The sequence below is a fragment of the Homo sapiens genome, chromosome 2 (assembly GCF_000001405.40).
Source record: "Homo sapiens chromosome 2, GRCh38.p14 Primary Assembly".
In the NCBI taxonomy this organism is placed as follows: domain Eukaryota; kingdom Metazoa; phylum Chordata; class Mammalia; order Primates; family Hominidae; genus Homo; species Homo sapiens.
In genome coordinates, this window is record NC_000002.12 from 8,125,829 (window position 1) to 8,152,971 (window position 27,143).

A 27,143-nucleotide genomic window follows, 5' to 3' on the forward strand; every position below is an offset into this window, starting at 1 on the left:
GTGTCGTTTTACAAAGGCACATTCTAAATTTTTGAGGGACCAGCTGACTTGATCATTGTGATACTGATAAGATGAAAAAAAGTGAATTTTGAAATGTTGTCATTCCGGTTGCTTTGGTGACACAAACCCTGTAGATCCCAGAGCACAAGGTCACCTTTATCTTCTCAAAGGGCATGTTATGAAATTGCACAATGCCTGACACTTTCATGGGAGTAACTTACCCAAGCCCGTTCTTGGGAAACTACCCCATCATGAGATAGCTGACCTAGAGAGCTCAACCCATCTGAATAATTGGCAGGAAGCACATACGATCTATTTGACTTCATCAGAAAACAAGCTTCTCACTTGGCCTTCAGGGGCCTTCCCAGCCTCACAGCTCCCATGCGGGGTCACCCTGCACGCCCTTCCTCTCACTCTCCGTGCTCTTCTCTGCTCCTATGCTCAGGAGGAGCACATTCCCTCTGCCTGGAATGCCCTACCCGCTGTTCTGATTTGTGGGTGCCTTACTCCCCTCTTACCAGTGTCTCCTCCCACTAGCATTCCTCCACTTCCACGCAAAATTAGCATCGCTGGCTTCTATGAGCTCACAGTAATCTTTATCCTTGCTCTTATAAATGCCACACGACACTGGACTTTTAACCCACATGTCTGTCTCCCACACTGAACTGTGACCTCCAAGGGAGCAGGGACTGTGGGTTTCTTTGAACACTGGGACTCCGCCACCTGTACTTCCAGTTACTTGCTGGATGCCCAAGTTCTCTGCTCCACTGTGAGCTCCATAAAACCCAGGATCAGCTCTCTCATGTGTTCCTGCCTAGCACATAGTTGGTGACTAATAAATATTTATGGAATCTAGTAATCAACTATGAGTTTCTAGAGAGCAAAAGAATTTCCCCATTTATGTGTGTATCCCCCAACACTTAGCACAATGCCTAGCACAAGATTAGGTACCACAAAATGTCTGAATTTGAATAAAGGCAACTTGAGTCCTGCTATAATCCTGGTTTTAGCCTGGCTAGACTTTGTCTACCTCGGCCAGATCTGGCCTGTCAAGGGCTCCTCACTAAACAATTAACTGAGGCTTGTCAGAGGCCTCAGAGCTCAACAAACAGTTCAGCTTGGTCTGACTTATGCTCCAGTCTGCTAAGAATTTCTTGTGCACAAACATCACATGGCCCAGAGTGAACCCAAAGGACTGATGGGGAGAGGAGGGAGCGATGGCCAGGCCTTCTAGAAGTCAGTCACTGCTATTGACAGCATTTTGAGGCACTTGATTGGGATAATACAGTTTTCCCAAGATAGCGTTTCCACTGTTGTGCCAAATTAAATAGCTAACTCCTGCACAGGAGTGAAAATCAGTTGGGATGGCTCAAGTTTCCTCTGTCCTTCCATGTGTCAAACCTCCCAGACAGAACTGGGATCTTCAAAAGCTGAATCTCTGTAAGTTGTGGCTTTCTCCGGTGCTTTGCTATTTTATAATTTAAGTGGTGGAGATGCCTTTGTATTAAAATTTTAACGGGGAGAATGGAACCAAGTTGGAAAACACTCTGCAGGATATTATCCAGGAGAACTTCCCCAATCTAGCAAGGCAGGCCAACATTCAGATTCAGGAAATACAGAGAATGCCACAAAGATACTCCTCAAGAAGAACAACTCCAAGACACATAATTGTCAGATTCACCAAAGTTGAAATGAAGGAAAAAATGTTAAGGGCAGCCAGAGAGAAAGGTCGGGTTACCCAAAAAGGGAAGCCCATCAACTAACAGTGGATCTCCCGGCAGAAACTCTACAAGCCAGAAGAGAGTGGGGACAAATATTCAACATTCTTAAAGAAAAGAATTTTCAACCCAGAATTTCATATCCAGCCAAACTAAGCTTCATAAGTGGAGGAGAAATAAAATACTTTACAGACAAGCAAATGCTGAGAGATTTTGTCACCACCAGGCCTGCCCTAAAAGAGATCCTGAAGGAAGCTCTAAACATGGAAAGCACAACCGGTACCAGCTGCTGCAAAATCATGCCAAAATGTAAAGACCATTGAGATTAGGAAGAAACTGCATCAACTAACGAGCAAAATAATCAGCTAACATCATAATGACAGTATCAAATTCACACATAACAATATTAACTTTAAATGTAAATGGGCTAAATGCTCCAATTAAAAGACACAGACTGGCAAATTGGATAAAGAGTCAAGACCCATCAGTGTGCTGTATTCAGGAAACCCATCTCACATGCAAAGACACACATAGGCTCAAAATAAAAGGATGGAGGAAGATCTACCAAGCAAATGGAAAACAAAAAAAGGCAGGGGTTGCAATCCTAGTCTCTGATAAAACAGACTTTAAACCAACAAAGATCAAAAGAGACAAAGAAGGCCATTACATAATGGTAAAGGGATCAATTCAACAAGAAGAGCTCACTATCCTAAATATATATGCACCCAATACGGGAGCACCCAGATTCATAAAGCAAGTGCTGAGTGACCTACAAAGAGACTTAGACTCCCACACAATAATAATGGGAGACTTTAACACCCCACTGTCAATATTAGACAGATGAACAAGACAGAAAGTTAACAAGGATACCCAGGAATTGAACTCAGCTCTGCACCAAGCGGACCTAATAGACATCTACAGAACTATCCACCCCAAATCAACAGAATATACCTTTTTTTCAGCACCACACCACACCTATTCCAAAATTGACCACATAGTTGGAAGTAAAGCTCTCCTCAGCAAATGTAAAAGAACAGAAATTATAACAAACTGTCTCTCAGACCACAGTGCAATCAAATCAGGATTAAGAAACTCACTCAAAACCGCTCAACTACATGGAAACTGAACAACCTGCTCCTGAATGACTACTGGATACATAACGAAATGAAGGCAGAAATAAAGATGTTCTTTGAAACCAATGAGAACAAAGACACAACATACCAGAATCTCTGGGACACATTCAAAGCAGTGTGTAGAGGGAAATTTATAGCACTAAATGCCCACACGAGAAAGCAGGAAAGATCCAAAATTGACTCCCTAACATCACAATTAAAAGAACTAGACAAGTAAGAGCAAACACATTCAAAAGCTAGCAGAAGGCAAGAAATAACTAAGATCAGAGCAGAACTGAAGGAAATAGGGACACAAAAACCCTTCAAAAAATTAATGAATCCAGGAGCTGGTTTTTTGAAAGGATCAACAAAATTGATAGACCGCTAGCAAGACTAATAAAGAAGAAAAGAGAGAAGAATGAAACAGACGCAATAAAAAATGATAAAGGGGATATCACCACCGATCCCACAGAAATACAAACTACCATCAGAGAATACTACAAACACCTCTACGCAAATAAACTAAAAAATCTAGAAGAAATGGATAAATTCCTCGACACATACACCCTCCCAAGACTAAACCAGGAAGAAGTTGAATCTCTGAGTAGACCAATAACAGGAGCTGAAATTGTGGCAATAATCAACAGCTTACCAACCAAAAAGAGTCCAGGACCAGATGTATTCACAGCCGAATTCTACCAGAGGTACAAAGAGGAACTGGTACCATTCCTTCTGAAACTACTCCAATCAATAGAAAAAGAGGGAATCCTCCCTAACTCATTTTATGAGGCCAGCATCATCCTGATACCAAAGCCGGGCAGAGACACAACCAAAAACGAGAATTTTAGACCAATATCCTTGATGAACATTGATGCAAAAATCCTCAATAAAATACTGGCAAACCAAATCCAGCAGCACATCAAAAAGCTTATCCACCATGATTAAGTGGGCTTCATCCCTGGGATGCAAGACTGGTTCAATATATGCAAATCAATAAATGTTATCCAGCATATAAACAGAACCAAAGACAAAAACCACATGATTATCTCAATAGATGCAGAAAAGGCCTTTGACAAAATTCAACAACCCTTCATGCTAAAAACTCAATAAATTAGGTATTGATGGGATGTATCTCAAAATAATAAGAGCTATCTATGACAAACCCACAGCCAATATCATACTGAATGGGCAAAAACTGGAAGCATTCCCTTTGAAAACCAGCACAAGACAGGGATGCCCTCTCTCACCACTCCTATTCAACATAGTGTTGGAAGTTCTGGCCAGGGCAATCAGGCAGGAGAAGGAAATAAAGGGTATTCAATTAGGAAAACAGGAGGTCAAATTGTCCCTGTTTGCAGACGACATGATTGTATATCTAGAAAACCCCATCGTCTCAGCCCAAAATCTCCTTAAGCTGATAAGCAACTTCAGCAAAGTCTCAGGATACAAAACCAATGTACAAAAATCACAAGCATTCTTATACACCAATAACAGACAAACAGAGAGCCAAATCATGAGTGAACTCCCATTCACAATTGCTTCAAAGAGAATAAAATACCTAGGAATCCAACTTACAAGGGATGTGAAGGACCTCTTCAAGGAGAACTACAAACCACTGCTCAATGAAATAAAAGAGGATACAAAGAAATGGAAGAACATTCCATGCTCATGGGTAGGAAGAATCAATATCGTGAAAATGGCCATACTGCCCAAGGTAATTTATAGATTCAAAGCCATCCCCATCAAGCTACCAATGACTTTCTTCACAGAATTGAAAAAAACTACTTTAAAGTTCATATGGAACCAAAAAAGAGCCCGCATCGCCAAGTCAATCCTAAGCCAAAAGAACAAAGCTGGAGGCATCACGCTACCTGACTTCAAACTATACTACAAAGCTACAATCACCAAAACAGCATGGTACTGGTACCAAAACAGAGATACAGATCAATGGAACAGAACAGAGCCCTCAGAAATAATGCCTCATATCTACAACTATCTGATCTGTGACAAACCTGAGAAAAACAAGCAATGGGGAAAGGTTTCCCTATTTAATAAATGGTGCTGGGAAAACTGGCTAGCCATATGTAGAAAGCTGAAACTGGATCCCTTCCTTACACCTTATACAAAAATTAATTCAAGATGGATTAAAGACTTAAATGTTAGACCTAAAACCATAAAAACCCTAGAAGAAAACCTAGGCATTACCATTCAGGACATAGGCATGGGCAAGGACTTCATGTCTAAAACACCAAAAGCAATGGCAACAAAAGCCAAAATTGACAAATGGGATCTAATTAAACTAAAGAGCTTCTGCACAGCAAAAGAAACTACCATCAGAGTGAACAGGCAACCTACACAATGGGAGAAAATTTTCGCAACCTACTCATCTGAAAAAGGGCTAATATCCAGAATCTACAATGAACTCAAACAAATTTACAAGAAAAAAACAAACAACCCCATCAAAAAGTGGGCAAAGGATATGAGCAGACACTTCTCAAAAGACATTTATGCAGCCAACAGACACATGAAAAAATGCTCATCATCACTGGCCATCAGAGAAATGCAAATCAAAACCACAATGAGATACCATCTCACACCAGTTAGAATGGCAATCATTAAAAAGTCAGGAAACAACAGGTGCTGGAGAGGATGTGGAGAAATAAGAACACTTTTACACTGTTGGTGGGGCTGTAAACTAGTTCAGCCATTGTGGAAGTCAGTGTGGCGATTCCTCAGGGATCTAGAACTAGAAATACCATTTGACGCAGCCATCCCATTACTGGGTATATACCCAAAGGACTATAAATCATGCTGCTATAAAGACACATGCACACGTATGTTTATTGTGGCACTATTCACAATAGCAAAGACTTGGAACCAACCCAAATGTCCAACAATGATAGACTAGATTAAGAAAATGTGGCACATAAACACCATGGAATACTATGCAGCCATAAAAAAGGTGAGTTCATGTCCTTCGTAGGGACATGGATGAAACTGGAAATCATCATTCCCAGTAAACTATCGCAAGGACAAAAAACCAAACACCGCATGTTCTCACTCATAGATGGGAATTGAACAATGAGAACACATGGACACAGGAAGGGGAACATCACACTCTGGGGACTGTTGTGCGGTGGGGGGAGGGGGGAGGGATAGCATTAGGAGATATACCTAATGCTAAATGACGAGTTAATGGGTGCAGCACATTGACATGGCACATGTATACATATGTAACTAACCTGCACATTGTGTACATGTACCCTAAAACTTAAAGTATAATAATAATAATAAAAAAATAAGAGAAAAAAAAATTTTTACATCAGCATCTCTCAAAGTACAGTTCTTGGAACACTTGTCCTCAAGGTGATCCATGGAGAAAGAGCCTCGGCCAAATGAACTTGGGGATGTCAAGGCTCTTCAGTGCAGTTCTCTGGTTAACTTTTCTCACCCCAACATTTCCCATACTCTGGCTGCAGCATCCTTCTAGCCTGAATATGCATATGTCTGGAAGGTACTTTGAAAAACAAGAAAACAGTGCTCCAGAACAGAGGTCTGCACACCTTTTCTGTAAAGAGCCAGATCGTAAATATTCAGGCTCTGCAGGCCACATAGGGTCTCTGTCTTGTATTCGTTTGTTTGCATTGGTTTGTGCAAAAACAGGCTGAGGTGCAGATTTGGCCACAGGCTGTAGTCATTTGTCGATCCAGCTCTAGAATATTTTCCCCTTGACAACCAGTTGCCAGGCTGCAATTGAGTCACAGTGTCTCCTAACATCGCCGTGGAGCTACCCTTGACAATCGCTCACTCCTGTCCTTTTGGAAGCCTAGCAGCACTTCCTCTGCAATCCCAGGCAAATGCTAAATAATAGTAAGCATTATTCCAGATGCCAAACCGCACCTGGTTTTGGTCACTTGGTGTGCATCGTCAGCACTATTGTGCATGTGCTGTCACGCGAGCTCTCTAAGGGAGCCGCTGGGGAAGGCTGTCCTCAGACCCAGCCATGCAGCTGCAGACGTTTGTGTGCTCCTGTGGGATGGCTAGCAGGCTGGCCGGTCTGAACCGTGGCTGCATCAAACCGATTTTGCAACAACCCTGATGTACAGGGCAGGGAGCCACACGCCAGGGCCACCTGCTCTAAGCAACATCCCTGGCTGTGACCAGCTGCTCCCCCAAGTCCTGGCTGTGGGTTTTTTCCCATAGAGTCATGTCCAGTTAAGGGATATAGAATGAAAAACACCTGGATTCACATACTATTTGTGTGGTCTTGAGCATGTTAATAAACCTCTTTAAACCTTAGTCCCTTGACCCCAAATGTGGTACCACCACCTCCTTTGCTGTGTTGCTGGATGCGGCCGCGAGGCAGGGTGGAAAACGCCCTGGAGGCCCAGGAAGCGCCTCTCACCTCTCCCTTTCCCATGGACAGCCCACTCTTCTCGGGAACAGCTCCCCCTCGCCCAGGATGTGGGGCAGAGTGGGACACGCCCAGCCTGCCTGCTCTTCTGAGACAGCCGCATTGAAAGAGTACAACAAAAAATAATATAAAACAACAAAGAGGAATGTGTGGGGCTGGGGAGGTGTAAGGAGTGATTGAGTTTAGCCCAGGAGCTGGGGAAGATTTCACAGGAGACATCTGAGCTAGAATCCGGGGGTACTCAGATTTGAGCAGTGGGGAATGGAGGAAACAGATTTGGGGCAGACAGAGCAATGGGAGCAGGACATAGCACCCGCCCGCCAGGTTTCCCCCCATGGACACACAGCTGATCCCACTGGAACATCCAAGCCCAGCCTCTCTCATACCCAGGATCCTTTTCCTCAGCCAGACAGTGAAGCCACAGAACAAAGCTCATTTTGCCAAAATGGACCGCCAATGTGTCCACGGCTTGTCTCCCCGTTTAGAACACAGCCCCCGGGGGCGCTCTTCCCCACGGTGCGCAGAATGCTGCCTCTACTCTTGCCTGCATGCTCAGACTTCAAACGGGGCTGTGAAAATAAATCTAATGACAGGTAAAACTGGTTTATCACAGGAAACTCTAGAATTTCACGTCTTAAATAGATCACCCTTCTGCTGAATTCTGCATTTCTGAAATGTAGTAAGAACACTTTCTTCTCTAGCACTCTGCTACACTTATTAAAAATTTTATTTAAACCTCAAGGTACCCTATTTTCCTCATTTACAGTTGAAAAAAAAATCAAGTTTCAGTTAATTCAGTGGCATGTCCAAGGACACACTGCTAGTTGGAGGACGAATGAACGATACCCTAGCAATACCTCAGTGGAGCTTCAAGTTACTATATTGAACACACATCGCTGAGAATCTGAACTCCAAAGCAGCAAGGCAAACCCAAATTCAGACTTTTGTTTTTCTTCTTCCTATAATCTCCTTCATGGTTTGCTGTATTTCTCTGCTGCCTCCCTCCTGCCTCCCGCCAGCTTCAGACACACACACACACACGCACACACACACACACACAGAGGATTCAAAATATTAAAGACACAGCCAATTAAGACGTGGTTTTTTTTTATATGAGGAAGCAAAAGGAAAAGCAAGACGTCCCCCAGCATCTGTTTTCTGCCCCTTATCCAGAGGAATATGCCCATTTGTACTGTGACGCCAAGTGCAGTTCGTTTCCTGCTTTGAAACCTACCAGGGAGAAAACGGCCTTCATGACCTTCAACGAGTGTCATTCCTGGTAATTTCCCTGGAATTTTTGTGTCCTTACAAATTTTTCCTATTACAAAATCTTGTACAGAACTGTGCCATCCTGAGAGTGGATGGGTCCCCACCACCCCACCCACTGGTGTCCTGAATCGCCCTGGCGCCGTCAGCGGCTCTTGGTTTTGTGGACAATCTTCCCCCAGCTTCCTTGCAAGCTCTCTGCAGTACCCACCCAAGGGACTATGCATGAACTGAGGGACAGCGACTTGGGCTCTCTCTCAGACAAGGCTCTCTCTCTGAAAAGGGGGCAGGGCCCCCTCCTTGGTGCCCCCTAGATGGTTATAAATGCCCTTGGCATTTGTTTACCCACACTAGACAGTAACCAACATTCAGATAAATGAAGTTGGCGCCTCCAGGATTTATGACCTCCTCCTGTGCTTTGCATTGTTTAATCAGGAAGTCAACATATTACAGAGTGAAATCCTTTACAAGCATGTGCAAACACAGAGCCACCATTAGCGCTGAGGCAGGCCTTGGGGTGGAATGGACCTCCAGCCTCTCACCATCTCGGAAAGGAATACGCAGCCGGCGTCACTCACTGGCTGGCGAACAGCACCAGGGTTCTTTTTTCCTTTGTATTTACTTTTTTCCTTTTTTAAGATTCTCATTTTGAAGAGGAAAGGTGATGAACAGGAACATATGATGGGGCCCTGTCTCTAGACACTCCCCTCCCAGAGAGCCAGGAATTAGGGAAGGTAAATTAGGGTCAGGAAAGGTGGTGGAGTTTAGTGTGTTTGGACAAGGCTGGGAGCATGTGGGGAATCAGCGTGAGGCATCCCACCTGGAGGAGGAGGCCAGGCTGCAGCCCCCGTGCCATAAGCCCGGCTCCACGAAGTCTAGCCAACATCTGGAATGGATATCAAGAGACACAGGCGGCCCTCACTGGCGCGCCGGTCTACCTTTGTACTTTTCGTTGCAAATTGAAAAGCAAAACAGACATCAAGGATATATTTATAAAACTGTCTTCAAGTTGCATTTTCTACTCCCATCTGCTGCATATGATAAGTTTCAAGTGTTTTCTAATAAAAAAAAAAAAAAAAAGGAGGGTGTGGTGGGGTGGAAGGAAGCCTGGGTGTGCGCGTGTGTGCCTGAACGCATGCTCCTTATTTGGTGTGGAGACTGAGCTTTCTCTGGCTTTGTTGAAAAGGAGAAGTTAAAACATGCAGTCTCTGAAGGCATTACTGTTTTAAAATGTTCTGATCATTTGCATGTCATGCTTATTCAAAAAATTTGCATTGGATCACATTAAAGAAAAGGAGGGTATATTTCTGAAATTCGTAAACTCCTTGCTTTAGTGGAGAAGGTTAGTGGGGGAAAGAAGCACATCTTTTTGTTGTTAAGTTTTTGGAGAAAAGAGAAACGTGGAGGCGTGAGATGGTGGAGTGAGATATTTAGGAAAAAATAATACAGCAAAAGATAGAGGTACATCAGGCAGATCCAAGAAAATTGAGGTTTTCTACATTTAGGTAAAGATGTGAATCCAGATGTGACTTGTTGATCTTCATGAACAAAGCTGGATCCACCACCATCAGCCACATTTAGTGCAGAGTTGGGCAGTTCAGAGACTAGCCATGGCCAAAACTAGACCTTTATTTTTCAGTTAATACAAAATGGGAGGAAAGAACTAGGAGAGAGGGACTCTAAAATTTTTCTTTTACCACTAGGCCATGCTAAAACACGATTAGCAAAGTAATAAATCACGAGCCAACAACCCAGATAATTCAGGATTTATTAAAACAAGTGAAGCCAGGCACGGTGGCTTTGGCTTATAATCTCAGCACATTGTGAGACCAAGGCAGGAGGATTGCTTGAGGCCAGGAGTCCAAGACCAGCCTGGACAAAATAGCAAGACCCCATCTCTACAACTTTTTTTTTAAAATTAGCCAAGCATGGTGCTGCAGCCCATAGTCCCAGCTACTTGGGAGACTGAGGCAGGAAGATCACTTGAGCCAGGAGTTCAAGACGGTCATGAGCTATGATTGTACTACTGCACTGCAGCCTGGGCAACAGAGTGAGATCCTGTCTCAAAAAGAAACAAAAAAAATGAGCCTAAACATCTGGATGTGGATAAGTAAATGTAAGGTGTTCTCCATGTTTCCATTAGCTGAATATCCTTCCAATTTGTCACTTTGAAGATGACAGTCCATCTGGAATATTAGAGGAAAGGCTGGATGCCCCGTTGATCTACTGATTGCTCCTCAACCCGTATTTCTACTGGTGATTTTCTCTATGTCCATATGCAGGTGAGCTTCTACTGATCTGGAAATGCCATGTCCTTCACTGACACACTGGACAAGAAGACCATCAGTCATATGCACTTGACTTCTCAGAAAACATGAGGGCTGCCTCCTGATTGCAGCCAGCAGAAAGTGGTAGAAAGAAGAAGACTTTGAAATGAGACAGACATGAGGTCAAATCTGGGCTCCCCCAGTTACTGCCATGTAACCTTGGACCAGTTACTTAAGCTGTTTAATTCTCATCTGGCAAATGAACCTAATAAGAAGTATCTCCTAGGGTGGGTAGAATTCATGGTTTAACGTTTGTAAAATGTTGAAAGAGCACTTTTAGTAGGACTTAGTTTCGAATACATAATTTTACTGTTCTGTGTTGCTAGTTCAATAAGCACTGTGCACGCCCCTCTCAGCCCCAGCTTACCCATGGCAGACGTCCTAATCCATCCCTGCACACCTTCCCACTGAGTGAGGTCTCAGCCTAAGGACCCTTTTCATCGAAGCCCTCCATACACCCACTACCAAGTGATCCGACTCATCACACCAAGCTAAATCTATTTGTTATCTTGACCCTGCCTGATTCAGACCCTCCTGTTAGCAGACAGGAGGCAGTTAGTGGCATCTGTTGAATGCCTCCTACGTATCTCGTGCCCATGACAAGTGCTTTCCATTTGACTGGGCTACTTTTCTCTTCTATTGGTAAGAGGCGAAAGGCACCTGAATTCCTGAGCTCTTCAACTGAATGCTGTTTCTCGTTGACATTTCTTCAGGTTTATTTCCTTATGTAAGAGCCTTGACTTGGGCATGAAACCTGCTAGCAGGCCTGAAGAAGGCACAGAGACGTGCTAAGAATCTGCATGATCAATGTGAGTCCTCACAGCTAAAGGGACCAAGCCATACACTTCCATGCAAAAAGTATTTAAATTTGGGTACTGAATTATTTTCTAAAGTAATACATGCCTTAGCTAAAAATATATGGCTATATTTCTTTGAGATACAGTGTAGAACTCTACTTCCACATAGAAAAGAAAAATCTACAATCATAAAATATGACTTCACCTTTCCTTTTCTCTGTAAGGTGAAAGCTGGCAGCATTCAGAAGTCTGTGGCTTGACAGGGTGAATGGAAGTCTCAGGTCATTCTGCAGCCCAGTCCCCTGACATCTACCCTCCACAAGCACAGAAGCCGCACAGGCTGGAGAGACTCCTGGCAGACCAGCGTTCATGAGACCCCTCTCTGTCTCTCCACAGAGACTAAACAGAGAAGCCAGCAGACCACTCCAGCAGGAGACCACATTGCACAGTCAGCTCCTTGGGCTTTGTTTATCTAAAGAGAAGGAAGCTGATCAGTAAAGAGGAAGAGCACACACCGAAGCTCCTAGTGCTGGTGATGAATCCAGACCCCACGCAGAAACCGCTGAGTGTGCAATGTGCCTCTGTTTCCTGCTGCATAAGAAGGGATGATGATAGTACTGACTTCATGGATTTGTTGGGAGAATTTAAGGAGATGAAACCTGCGAGGCACCTAGGACAGCACCTGACACTTAGGTTTACTCCAGTAATATGGGCGCACCTTACAACTATGGCCTTCGCCATTCCAGGGGCCTGCATCAGGAGCCACACTCCAGCACCCACCCCCACAGGTGAGGGGACTCCGCCCAAATGCTCACCACTCACTTCAGAAGCAAACTCAGGAAGAAATCCAAACCCCACCCACAACCGTGGTGATTTTTAAAGGTTCCATACCTTGTTTGAAAAGCTAATATTGTTTTATGAGAATAAAAATGATTAATGTTGGAGAATGGATAAAAATAATAACTCCTATGATGGTGAAATTTGAAAACACCTATGTCTATGTACTTAAGAAAAGCATTTATAGTACAATTAAAATATATTCAATATATGTATTTGTATATATCGTTAAATAGAATTTATAAGAAGCCATTGGTTTGGACTAAGATCCTGCACTAGGCCCAACAGAATAAACCAAAATGGAGATACTGCTAGTCAAGTTCCATGCCACCAAGCTGAAACTAAGCAGTTGATCTGACCTCCTGAGAAATCAGGAGAGAGAGAAAGATAATAGCCAAATCCGCAAACAGGCCAGTTTCAGCTGGCGGGGTGAGGAAGTCCCCCTGTTTCAACCCTGCAAAGAACATCTCTGCTTTTGATTGGCTATGCCTGACTTCTTCAGCCCTTTCCTGTCTATAAAACCAACCTCCCCAGCTCAGCTCATCAGAACACTCACTCTACTTTATAGAATGAGATGGTATCCAATTCTAGAATCACAAATAAGAGCCAATCCAGATCTTTAAACTAAATCTGTCACGATTTTGTCTTTTGACAGCAACACACACACACACACACACACACACAATATCTTCACATTCACACACACATACACGCACACACACAATGTCTTCACATTCACACACACACACACGCACACACACAAAGTCTTCACATTCTCAACCTTGGGTCCTCTCGTGCTTTCTATTGTCTTTTGCATTGGGGGAAGGTTTTCAATAACGTCAAATTTTATAACTTAAAATAAAAAAGTTTCTCCAAGGTTAGGCAAACACATTGCTATTTGGTTATGAACTTTGGTTGTTTCTCCCTGAAAAAATTTCCAGTCTTGCTCAATTTCCAAAAAAAAGAGTTTGGACTCTTACCTAAGCCATGTTTGTCCAAAGAGGTCAGTATCAAGCCTACATGACTTTTTGATCCAGAAAATAGTAGTCATGTTTTGGTCATTCTGAGATAGTCATGGAAAATTACAACACAGATGTTCATACGGGATCTTCCTTCTATTGCCCAGTGCCCCGTGAAGCCCTTGAACAAAACCAGAAGAAAGTGAAAAATAAACAGCCTTATACGGTAAATGAAAAAATAAGGTAACTTTGTGGTAGTGTCGCTAGGCTGAGGGCAGAGAGGGGAGGAGAGCAGTGAGCAGGGGCCTGAAGCCCACAGGCCTGGCCAGAGCACAGCAGAGGAGAATGTAGCCAAGTGTGTACAAGCAGATTCCAGCCAGGCTGCAGTGAGTGTGCGAGCTGGCTCAGCCATTGACTAGCTGTGGGCTGGGAGAAAATTTCTTCACTCCTTTCTGCCTCAGTCCCTTCATCTGTAAAGTAGGAATAAAAATAGTAACACTCGTATAGTGTTGCTGTTAAATACTTCATCTATATCAAGAGCTTAGAACAGTGCCTGGCACAAAATGTGTTTCATACATTTTGCAAATAAAATAAAATAAAAGGGCTCAAAGGAATTGTTTCCAACACTTTTGATGTTAAGATGCAAAAGCTAATATAGTATAATGGTGGTTGCTAGGGTCTGGGGAGAGGAGGAAATGGAGAGTGGCTACTTAGTGGGTACACGGTTTCCTTTTGGGGTGATGAAAATCTCTTGGAACTAGAGACAGCTGGTGGTTGCATAACATTGTGAATGCATTAGATGCCACTGAATTATATGTTTTAAAATGGTTAATGCACATTTTAAAATGGTTAATGACTAATTTTAAGTTATGTGAATTTTGCCTTAATTTTTTGAAAGACAGAGAAAGAAGAAAGAGAAAGAGATGGAGGGAGGGAGAGAGGGAAGAAAGCTATCACTAGTGGTGGGCTTAAATGGCCCTAGAAAATCACGGCTTTTGAGAGGAATCCCAACCCTCAAGGTTGACCTCAACTGGCTCTCGGGTCAAGGCCATGGCCATCTTTTTTGTTCTTATCACATTCATTGATTCTAATTGAGCCTATAGGTATATATTGAGGACTCTCTATGCATCCATTCCTAGCCTACAAGGACTTAGAATGTGAAAATAAATTAAAGTGATTATTAGCCAGTTTGGGAGTGAGGAGGAGCTATGTAGAAAAGTATCATATCTATCAAAAGATATCTATCATACAGTGTAGGGAAGGTCATGATTGAGCTGCCACAGGCTACAATGGAGGTTACACCCAACTCTAAGACAAGGAATCAGGAAAGACAGGTCCTAATAAGTCTTGAGATTTGGTAGAAAGACATGAGACTGAAAAGGTATTTCCTAAAGGGATTTCCAATAGACATGATCACCAAAATTATGTAAATTGAAAAAGATGCCTTTTAGAATATTTAAATTATTTTATCATTGCTGAATTATATTCCACTTTTAAATGGGCTTAAGCCATTCATGGAAAAAGAAAACTAGAGCATGAAAAAGATCAGAAAGAGGGAGGAAGGGGAAAGAAGAGAAGGAAAAAGAATAATTTAATGACTTTGCTCTAATACCATGCACGGAAGGGTCACCAAGCAAAGAAATACGGGAATGACTCTGTTATAAACATAAATGAGATAAACAGTGATAGAAAACTCAACTTTAAGAATTTAACCAAGTAGTATCTCCAAGTTAGTTAATGGCAAAGACATTAAGATTTCATGTGTGTGTCAATGAATTTGACTTTGACTCACATAATGATGTCCCTCCAAAATGTGTTTTCTTCTCCTTCCATTTTACAACTGTGTAAGTTCTAGAAAGTATTTTTCCCAAAGCAACAAAGCCAGCAGGGTAACAGAGAGTCTAGAAATGAAGCCACAACAAGATAATTAGGGGCTCAGTGTGCTAAGGATGAAGAAGAGAATTCCCCGGGAAAGGCATCGTGGCTGTCAACTAATGTCAACCAGAAATACCTGATCCATGCTTCTCTTCAACAGTGAGAACAGATAATAGCATCATCTGCCTCTTGAAGAGCTAAGCTTTATGTTCACCCAAGAGGGATCAAAAAGAGGTCAGGAGACCATTAACCTTAGAAGTGAGCTGTAGGCTGTGAAAAGTTGAACTCCAGTTCTTGCAGTTGTTTTTAACTCTAAACTCTATAAATCTATGATAGTCATTTTAACAGGAAATTGTACAGACTCAAAGTTCACCAGAAATAAAAGTCTAGAGCCAAACCCTGCTTTCAGATGACAGGGCCACTTGCTTCTGTAGGTGAGTCAGGGCAGCCACAGATATCGGCATGGAATCTTCGCTGGGGAGAGGCTGTCTAGGATCAAAGGAAGCGCTTGCTGATACCTTATTAAAACCCTGTGAAGGCTTGGAAACTTTTAAAATATGTTGGGTGGGTTGAGGATCTGTCTTCCCTGCACCTCCAGGTTTCAACTGATCTGTAGTTCAAACTGAAATCTCCCTCCTGTTGTTCTTATAGCTCTTGATAAAAATTCCAACTTCAGTCGAAACACCAGGCAGACTGTACCATGGAAAAAGTTCTCACTTCAGAAGAACAATTGTCTGCTGCAGAAATAAAGTAATGCCATTCCTATGAAATCTATAAACTCAAAACAGGGACACAGAACTAGTGGTTGCCAATAACTTTAACTTCATTTATCTATATTTGGCAAAAATTGTGCTGCAGCTGGAGATGAAATGCTGAGCTAAATAACTGCAGAGACGTGCGCTCCAAAACAGCAATTACTAAGCTGTGCTGCCTTGTGTAAGATTTCACTTTTATTTATTATATTTAAAGCAACTCTCTAACTCTGTACAGTACAGACAGCATTGTCTATTCGAGTGATAGCTGCTCATAACGACATCTCCACCTCGCTATTTGTCCAGGAAGGTGCTTTCAGGGAGGCAAAAGATCTCTCCCATGGCCACGTTAACACAGTTTAGATGGCAGCCTCGCCACCAAATGCACCTCTCTTTTGTCCATAATTGAAAGAAACTATTCTCATGTTCAACTCAAACTTGGCTTATCACATACTGTGCACAACTCTGATGATGGCTTTTTTTTTATCAGTGGAGATATTGATAATTATAATTGGAAGGCTGAGGAAGAGGACTATAAATATCCCATCAGCTGCCACAGAGCTGGGGGGGAGGAGAGGTGGCAACCTATGCCTCTGAAAGAGGCTGATGGAGAAAGATGGATCCTCACAGCCATTGTCTACCCAGCCCACATCTGTTTCTTATAGTGGGTGATGATTTTCATAGAATCATAGAAATTAGAGATGGAAAAGGCTCATTAGGTCATCCAGCACAGCTCTCTGCCAGTGCAGGATGATTCTCTACATGGAAGATGATCTCTTTGTTCTTCTACAAAGCTGTGTTAAGCAATAACTCATGTAACCACCTTCACGTGCATTCATGATATTCAGCTCATCACATGTGACTCAATAAACACCAACTCAGAAAGTAGGATTTAGCCTTTTAGAGTTTTTAGAGGTACATAGTCCAAAACAGTGAGTAAAGGAGAAGGCTCTCTGAACCAAGTTAGGAACACCAGCCAACTGGGATGTGAAGTATTAATCTCATTTCTTCCTTCCATAGGTTGTCATCATCCTATCCCCAGTGATGGAGCCATACTTGGGTCTGAAATATTTTGACACAGATGAAGCAAGTCTTTGCAATTTCCAAAGGAAAGGCTTCTGTGACACACTCTCTTGTTTGAAGGAGTGACAATAACCTGAGAATTGCTGGTAGTATTATTTGTTGTTATTACTGTCATCAAAAGATATTTAATTAGAATCTCTTTTATATGTGACTGATAAAGCCAGTGAAATGGTCACACTGATTCTACAGTAAGCCATTTTTGAGCACCTATTATACACAAAGCACTGTGCAGGAAGGTTGCATAGTAAGTTGAGTGTGACCCAGACTCCAACTCTGAGAAGCTTATAATAGGGTGAAGGAGACAGAGACAGAAAGGCAGGCTCTTAATCCAGGGAACTACAGGAGGTAAGCACAAGGGAGACAGAAGCAGAGGCGGGAGACGTGACTTAGCCTTACCTTCCGAAACTCCACACTGGCATGAGGAATAGTGATATGCACTTGTGGAGGAATGGTCTATAGAATGAGGATAAAGAGGTTAAAGTTTTGCGATATCTTTCAATTAGTGATTCTGTAACCAAAACCCAGAGAAGCAGGTTATGATGGAGTCATCAGCAACACATCCCTTTTTAGCTTAACTTAGGAGTTCTCTTAAATCAGGGTGCTAAGTGGGAACCAAAAAAACCCCAGCTTTGTCTGTCCGAGCTTGCACTGACTGGGCCACGTCGGGTGGGTTGCTTATTCATTTGCCCAACGTATTTTATTCCAGTAATCATTCATGGCAGTCACTCAATGTCTCTGAGCACTAGTTTCTGCAAAACTTTATGTATGACATAAAGTATAACATACTTTATGCCCATAGAAGTATCTACTCTGTTGTGAGGGTAAATTAGACAACATAGCCAACCTGAAAAGTCTAATTCTAATGAATTTGTAATGAAATATTATCCTAAGTGATTATTTCCTAAACCTGTAAATGTAATCAGTTTCTTAATTATCTGTGCATGTTCACACATAGTTAAAGACATTAAGTTGATGTGTTTCTAAATTTCTTTTTTACATCGTTATGCATTTTTTATTCATTCCACAGATGTTTAGTATGCATTTATTGTGTGCTAGAGCCTGGACAAAGGATTATGAATGGTTACAAAGAGTCCCTTGGCTGAGTACTATTTTAAAAGGGTTTAATTTTAGAGGTGTTGCTTATAGTTATCTTTTTGATATTTTGGGGTTAATTCTGTGTCTAATTCTGTTAATTTCTGGAAAACTAGTCATAACAAACTGTGTGGTCCTACAAAGATCACCCTAGCCAGGCATGGGTAGGAGTGTCCTTTTGCACCTGTGTAGAAATTTGCTGCCATGTAGCCATGAGTGGGCTGGGCTCTTTTGGGGTGGCTGGCCCTGGCAACAAACATGCAGTTCAAAGTATCAAAACGCTATGTGTTTTCTGCTTCTAAGGGATTCCGTGAAAGGTGCCACTACAATCACCTGTCAACTTTGCAAGGAATTTCCCATCCAAAATCAATTTGTTCTCAATGTTTTTTTCTACCTGGGAGATCATGCATAGCCCACAGATAGACTCTCTTGGCCAGAGAGACACTATTACAAACTGGTGTTTCCTTGCTCTTCTTATCTCATTGCAGAAAATGCAGTCTGCCCTGAAGAACTCTGGACTGTGCCCTAACAACATTCATTCTCTTCTTCATTTCCAGTCTCACTGGCTTGCAAATAGTGCTTCCTGCCTCTTTCTTGCTGTTTCCTCATCCTTGATTTTCAGGGTGGAAACCTCAATTCATTTCCTTGAAATGGCAAATTATTGCAAAGGCATCAATTGGTTCTTGTCTAAGTGGACAAGCAAAACTGCACTCTGGCTGAGATGATGGAGACACTCACCTACCATGATGAGGGGAAGAAGCTGGAAGCTGGGTCATCTTGCCAGCCACTTTCTATGGTTATTTCACTCTTTCTTTTACTCATCCCTTTTCTTCTTGCATTTATGATATTTTGCCAATCAGTTTTGAGTTCATAAAGACACAAACCATGTCTGACTCATCTTCTAACATCCTTTAAGCTCCAGCAGCTAGCACAGTTCTGGAAAATGTCCACTAGACACTCAAGAGGTGATTTTGCACTGATTCAGCTGCCCTCCAACCACTGATTATTTTAGGTCAGGCGCTAGTGAGCAGTGCGGCCCATCACCAAGGGACAGACAAAAGTCAATTCATCTATAACAAAACTAGACCAACAAACTCGATCTTACTAGCACCACTCTCAAAAAAACAAAGAAGACCAACCATAAACAAATGAATAGACCATATCTGAAAATATATGCGATCCTGGAGGACTTGCATTTACACTCTATTTCCTAAACTATAAAGATTTGGGTGGTCCCTATCTGGTGAGCTATGCAACTTGGTAATTTTAGGCAAATTGCTTAAGATCTCAATGCCTTGGTGTATTAGTCCATTTTTTACACTGCTATAAAGAACTACCTGAGACTGGGTAATTTATGAAGAAAGGAGGTTTAGTTGACTCATGGTTCTGCAGGCTGTACAGGAAATATGGCTGTGGAGGCCTTAGGAAACTTACAATCATGGCAGAAGGTGAAGGGGAAGCAGGCACCATCTTTACATGGTCAGAGCAGGACAGAAAGGGGAAGTGCTACACACTTTCAAACAACCAGATCTCATGAGAACTCACTATCACGAGAACAGCAAGGGGGAATTCCGTCCCCATGATCCATTCATCTCCCACCAGGCCCTTCCTCCAATACCAGGAATTACAACAGGACATGAGATTGGAGTGGGAACACAGAACCAAATCATATCACTTGGTAACTTCATCTCAGTGAGATGGGTGGATAGCCAATATCATGGCATCCTTTGAAATCTGAAATTCTTTTATTATATTTCTTCCAATGATCACTCAACATTGACTGGTTGGATAGGATGAGCTGAAAAGCAAAAGTTTACAGTTTAATTCATTTCTAGAAAGAAATATTAAAAATTTATTTTAAGCAAGGTGCCACGCTGGGTGATAGAGGTGATAGATGACAATGCTTTTGTCACTGAGGGGTCCTTCTCTGGATGGTGTCATAAAATTGTATTAGAATTCAGGAAAAAACAGCTAGAGAAAAAGCAGTTTATCAGCACTTATGGCACTGCCATCTCATCATCAAAATGAACTGTGCACAATCATGTCATGGGTTTGTTAGGCATGAGCTTTGCTGAGGCTAGACAGGCCTCACATCTGTCACCTAATGCCAATTCACCTCCACACTCCCAGTACACAAAGGCCTTCTCCCTGGAGCCAAACTTCACTCTGCTTCCTCCATGTGAGGTGAGACCTTACTCAGACTGTGCCCTCCATCTGGGAGGTGTTTCTCCTGGGACTTGCTATTTACCCCTTGGCCCCCAGCTTATCATCCACAGAAATTCCACTGCCCTCCCTGGTTTCCATCAGTGCTGGCTACTCCCTCCTCTCGTCCTTTTCAGCAACACTGTGGGATCACAGCTTTCCAGGTGGAGATTTCCCTCCCTGGGCCCTGACTTTCCCCAGGATGAGAACTGCTCTCTAACTAACCTGCCGCTGTGCCAGCCCTTAGCATAGATGGGCATGTGCACCTGCCAGGAAAACAGCTGCTCTTTATCAAAGCCAAGTGGCACAGGTCCATCAGATGCTTTGCCTTCTGTAACCCCAGTATTGAACAAGAAACAACTTCCCTGTACAAAAGCCAGTCTCACATTTGGGAAGCTGACATCCCCTTAAATTCACCCCTTCTTATAATGCTAGAAAGACATAGCTAAACGCTCGAACCTTGGGCAGCATGTCAGGAATCTGACAGAAATGTGCAGAAAGCCAGGGCAATCACAGCCTCTTCTCTATCTAGGACTCCGCCTTTTCTTATCTCCTTCTCCTCAGCATATTACAATGGCCATGTGCCCTCCCATGGGACTGTCTTCTTCCTGAGGACAAGAACAGTGCCCCACCCAATGCCTTAGATCATGCAAAGAGTGTACACAGACTGCAAGTACTAAGTTTAATATGATTACTAACATGTTGAACACTGCTCTATGGACTTCACATGTACCAACTCATTTAATTCTTAAAATGATCCAGTAAGGACGTGTAGTAGTCAGGCTTCCCCAGAAACAGAACCAATGGGAGATATACCTAGATAGATAAATAGGTACATACATACATACATACATAGGCACACACACTTGTATGTGTGTGTGTGTGTGTGTGTGTGTGTGTGTGTATATATATAATATGTATGTGTATATGTGTATATGTGTATATATGTGTGTGTATATATCCACACATATATACACACATACATATAATATATACACATACATTTACACACATACATATATGTTCATGTGTATATATGTGTGGATATACACACATACATATACACATATACATACATACACACATACATATGATAATATGATATATATATACACACATACACGTGTGTGTGTGTGTGTGTGTGTGTGTGTGTGTGTGTGTCTATATATGTATCTCCTGTTGGTTCTGTTTCTGAGGGAGCCTGACCACTACACTTTCCTATTGGGTATTATATCACACAGCCTTTGTAATATGCCAAGGAGAAAGAGATAGAGAAAAGGCAGAGTCATAGAGAAGAGGTTGAGATTCTCCTGGCTTTCTGCATGTTTCTGTCAGATTCCTGACATGCTGCCCAAGGTTCCTGCCTTTAGCTAGGTCTTTCTAGCTAGGTGCATTCATATACATATGCACACACACACACACACACATACATATACACACATACATGTATGTATATTATGTGTGTACATAGATATGCATACATATACATGCATATATATGTGTGTGTGTATATAAAAATATACATATATGTATATATATTTCCTATTGGTTCTGTTTTTGGGGAAGTCTGACCACAACACTCCCTTATTGTGTTATTTTGAGGGTTAAATGAGTTGCTACATGTGAAGGCCCTAGAGCAGTGTCCATCGCGTTAGTAATTATATTAAACTCAGGACGTGCAGTCTGCATACATATACATATATATGTATAATATCAGAGAGAGATAGAGATTGGTCTTAAAAAATTGACTTATGTGATTTTAGGGGCTGCAAGTCCATAACCTGCAGGGCAGGCATGCAGGCTGAAGACTCAGGGAGAAGTTGATGTTGCAGCTTGAGTCCAAAAGCAGTCTGGAGGCAGAATCCCCTCTTCCTCGGGGCACGTCAGTCTTTTTCTCTTAAGGTTTTCAGCTTACTGGATGAGTCCCACCCACACTATGGAGGGTCATCTGCTTTACCAAAAGTCCACTGATTTAAATGTTAATCTCATCTTAAACTACCTTCACGGAAACATCCAGACTTGTATTTAACCAAATATCTGGGTATCATAGCCTAGCCAAGTGGACACATAAAATTAATGATCACAGGAAGGTACCATCTTTACCCTGACTTACAGAAGCAGAAAGGAAAACACAGATTGTTTAAGTCACTAGCCCTGAGTCACACAGCAATACGTAGTGCAATTGGAATTTGGCCTGGGCAGTCATTCCAGGAACTTGTGTTCATAAACCCTGAGCTATGCCACCTTCCTGTGAATTTCAGCATGGTATTCCTTATTTTGGCATGAGGCTGTATAAAGGGAACTGCTGAAAACGAACCATCTCTTTCTGATATTATCAAGTGGGTGATGTTATAACACTGAACCAGAAATGTATTTCCAGGAAACAGAACCCAAAAGGATGACTATATACTTAGTTTGGCCACATAATACCAGCCTGAACATCAACTCAAACCAATTCACCAAGCCCTTTGTGGCTGAGAGGAAGGCATGGCTGTCAAGAGTTCTAGCTCGTCTGTTTTGGTTTTTGGCTTGGGCGTGTGTGTAGATGTGGGTGTGTAGACGTGTATGTGTATGCGTGTGTGCGTATGTGCATGCATCTTAAGGAATCTGCTTCTGGTTCTTTGGGGACACTGATGATGATGGATTTCTCTATTTCACCATATATAATTCCTTCCTGCTGCACAGGACAGAATCCTAAGGGCTCCTAAGCCTGTTCCCAAGCTTCCAAAAGAGCACCAACTCACCGTATGGTTAACAAACCTAGGTTTGAATCCTACCTCTGTCACTTATTAAGTCAATATTCTTGGACAAGTTCTTTACTCTCTCCAAGTTTGGTTCCATCCCTACAATGGGGCTGATCAGAGCACTGACCTGGGATGGTCACCGTGGGGACTCAGGAATGATGCACGTGTGGAATGCAGCCCAGCACCTGGCATGGGGCATACACAGCAGATGACAAACACCATTCCAAAAGACAATTACTGCTTCATCATTAACGTCTCCTCACCAAAACCTTTTCTAGGAAACATGCCTAACCAAGGCAAGCTCCTCCTTCTGAGTTTATATATACCTGGCCGGGCATGGTGACACACACCTGTAATCCCAGCACTTTGAGAGGCAGAGGCAGGCAGATCACTTGAGGTCAGGAGTTCGGGACCAGCCTGGCCAACATGGCAAAACCCCATCTCTACTAAAAACACAAAAATTAACCAGGTATGCTGGCACATGCCTGTAATCTCAGCTACTTGGGTGGCTGAGGTGAAGAATCACTCACACCTGGGAGGTGGAGGTTGCAGTGAGCCGAGATTTTGCCACTGCACTTCAGCCTGGGTGGCAGCAGAAAGAGACTCTGTCAAAAAAAAAATAGTCTATATATACCTGTGGGCTGCAGAAGAGTCAGGAATCCCAAAGGCTGGCTCCAGTGGGAACCTGTCTAGCTGGACCTTCCTTGCTCACCCCATGCCCGGTGTTCAGCAGCCCACTTTGCCCCAGGACACCACCCCTGAGTGAAGCCCTCCACATGCTGTCTCCGTACAGTGCTCAGTCACCTGTGGAGATCCATTCTTTCCATATGAAAGTGTGGCCCAGCTGGAGTCTCCACCGTGGTGTCTGTGGGACTGTGTCAAATCTGGTTACCACTGCCCTCGTTCTGCTAGAGACAACTATACCTTAATCACCCCGTGTTTGTTCCAGGAGGAAAATCCTGGAACTGATCTTCTATGGGGTACTAACTTTTCTCAGTCTTCTGTAGGAGATTAAGTGATTCTGTCTTCTGAGCTCTGACATCATTTCAAATGTATGAACATTGGCCTGAAGCTTAATAAATTTCAGCCATCGTATATTCTTAGCTTTTGCTTGGGCTGGCGTTCCTCTGCTTAACAAAAAACAGTCATGAGCCAGATGAAAGCAATTTTCCCACATGGCACCTTCATCTTATTTTCCAGTCTCTGAGTAAAAGACCGCACCTCTCACCTTGCAGCTATCACAGAACATGGGAACATTGCCGTCTGCATGCCTCTCACAGGAAATCATGCACATTCCCCAAATTCCCCACAGGACCCAGGGCCTCCCTGCTCCTGCCCCACACTGTGCAGAGCACATCCGTGCGGAGGTGTGGAAGACTAGCCAGGCCAGAGACCAGCAAAGGTGGCTGTGTGGCTAGGGGCTGGCCTCCCTCAACACTGGACGAATTGACGTTGAGCACGTACTAAGTCTAAGGAAATCCAGCTGCATGCTGGATTTATAGCTGTGTACAAGACAAGTATCAGCCCTCCTGGTCTTACTTTTTGGGGAATGCACAATTAATCACTTACATCGCAATTGTGACACTTGCTACAAAGGAGAAGGGCAGGCTGTGAGCAAACGCAAAACAGGGGGACTGGATGTAGTCAGGAGGTCGTTAAACGCTGCCCTAGAAAGTGAAATTTTTAGTTGAAATCTAAAGAGTGATTAAGATTGAGTTTGGTGGAAAAGAATCCAGAGAACTTTATAGGCTGAGTTGAAAAAGATGTGGGGCAGGCCAGAGGCAGTGGAAGCCCACTGTAGTCCAGAAACTGAAAAAAGTGCCCAGTGGCCGAGATACGCAAAGCAGGGAGGAGAGAGGCTCAGGCTGGGGCGCCGGGCAAAAGCCAGCACTGGCAAGGCCCTGCAGAACACATGCATAAGTTTCAATTTTATCCTGTAAGACAAGGGAAGCCACTGAAGTTTAGGCAAAGGGGTGAAAAGAGCAGGTATCTCTTCTAAAAGGCTATTTTGCCCTATGGAAAAGAGAGTTGTGGGAGGCAGAAGCAGATGAGATTCAAACAAAACCTTATCCACCCACGTTCATAGCAGTCCTACTCACAACAGCCAGAAGGTGGGAAAAACCCAAATGTTCATCAATCCATGAATGGACAAACAAAATGTGGCATATCCATGCAATGGAATATTACTCAGACATAAAAAGAAATACAGCACTAATACATGCTGCATGAACCTTGAGACTATTATGTTCAATGAAAGAAGCCAGATATGAAAGCCCACATATCATATCACTCCATTTACATGCCACACCCGGAACAGGCAAATCCACAGACAGAAAGCCGATTTGTGATTGCCAGAGGCCGAGGAGACAGAAGAATGGTGAGTGGTGACTTAATGAGTATGGGCTTGAAATATAGGATGATGAAAATTCGGAAACTAGAGAACGGTGATGGTTATACAACACTGTGAGTGCGCTTAAGGCATCACTGAACTCTACACTTCAACACAGTTAAAACAGTAACCTTGGCCGGGCGCAGTGGCTCATGCCTGTAATCCCAGCACTTTGGGAGGCCGAGGCAGGCAGATCATGAGGTCAGGAGATTGAGACCATCCTGGCTAACACGGTGAAACCCTGTCTCTACTGAAAATACAAAAAAAATTAGCCAGGCATGGTGGTGGGTGCCTGTAGTCCCAGCTACTTGGGAGGCTGAGGCAGGAGAATGGCCTGAACCCAGGAGGTGGAGGATGCAGTAAGCCAAGATCACGCCACTGCACTCCAGGCTGGGCAACAGAGCGAGAATCCAACTTAAAACAAAACAAAACAAAACAAAACAAAACGGTAATCTTTACGTTATGTATATTTTACTGCAATAAGAAAAAAGAGCGAATAAGAAAAGAGCAATGAGAAGGTTATTGTAGTGATATAGGCAAAAGTTGAATGCAGCTAAGCTGAGGATGTTAGCAGGGGTAGTCTTAACCACTGGGAGATGGACCAGGTATCAACTTGGAAGGCTGGGTTTTTGTCAAGTTGCGGCTACAACATACAATAGCAGGAAGCCCAGGAAGCTGGACAGCCAGCCTCAGAAGGTCAGCAACAGGAGGAGAGCAGGTTTCCTGTCAGGACAGGAAACTCAGGCAAGTGCAGAATGCAGAGGGGCTGAGTGGAATCCTGGCCAAAGCAAGGGGCCAAGCTGTGCAATCTCAGATGATGCTTGCTATGTCAGAATGCATCCTCATATCACCAGATCTCCTGAGAAGCTCAAAATAAAGATTTTTATATGAAATTTCCCAACCATTAAAGGTAGCAACTCATTCAAAAACTTTGAAACATGTGTAGACCATATAAAACATATCTTACTGGGACTGCCAGTTTGCAAGCTGTAACTTAACACACTCTTAAACATGGCATCAAACCAGGCTGCTGACCTCCAAGAAGTTTACCATTTAATTTGGCAGATAAGCAATTTATCTAAAATAAGAAGATACATGGCAAACAAGGCCATAGGGATCAGTGTCAGATGAGTGGGTCGAGCCTGTGCTTTGTATGCTACATGCCAAGGGAGGAGAGACTAGAGAGTTGACAAAGGATCAAGGACAGCAGAAGCTTCCCAGAGAGAGAGAGAGATGGTGTAAGTCAAAGGAGCAAGCACACCCATGCAAACACAGACACAGAAACCTGGGTTGCATACAAGGAGGGGCGTATACAAGGAGAGAACCAAGGCAGAAACTCTCATGCAAGGCATGAGACAGAGACCCAGGGTCTGGGATGGGCATACAAGGATTGACCCCAAGGAACAAGGCAAGAAATGAGTGACTGAAACCAGGTCAGAGTAGCCGGGGCAGCCCAAGGATGAACCCCTCTCTTCTGCTTGCCCCGTCTTCACCCCACGGGTGCGGGAGGGGATCCTGCCCTAGGGTTCCGAGAATCATCAAACACAAGACACATGACCCAGGAAAGATGAGGCAT

The 27,143-nt window shown here is 43.1% G+C and overlaps 1 long non-coding RNA gene across 1 annotated transcript in view, besides 3 other annotated features; it reads right to left on the reverse strand.

Annotated features, from left to right (window-relative positions):
* The window catches only part of LINC00299 (long intergenic non-protein coding RNA 299), a 320,649-nt gene that overhangs the window by 118,058 nt on the left and 175,448 nt on the right, over window positions 1-27,143 (reverse strand). The gene's annotated exons all lie outside the window — the stretch shown is intronic.
* Window positions 19,785-19,834: an enhancer, noted in NCBI's record as "active region_15250". NCBI's record gives its function as "activates an Ori minimal core promoter by ATAC-STARR-seq in GM12878 lymphoblastoid cells {active_cell/tissue: GM12878}" and the evidence as "EXISTENCE:reporter gene assay evidence [ECO:0000049][PMID:35858748]".
* Window positions 24,036-24,536: an enhancer, noted in NCBI's record as "H3K4me1 hESC enhancer chr2:8289994-8290494 (GRCh37/hg19 assembly coordinates)". NCBI's record gives its function as "activates a minimal SCP1, AML or CMV promoter by ChIP-STARR-seq in primed H9 embryonic stem cells {active_cell/tissue: H9 hESC(primed)}" and the evidence as "EXISTENCE:reporter gene assay evidence [ECO:0000049][PMID:30033119]".
* Window positions 24,537-25,037: an enhancer, noted in NCBI's record as "H3K4me1 hESC enhancer chr2:8290495-8290995 (GRCh37/hg19 assembly coordinates)". NCBI's record gives its function as "activates a minimal SCP1, AML or CMV promoter by ChIP-STARR-seq in primed H9 embryonic stem cells {active_cell/tissue: H9 hESC(primed)}" and the evidence as "EXISTENCE:reporter gene assay evidence [ECO:0000049][PMID:30033119]".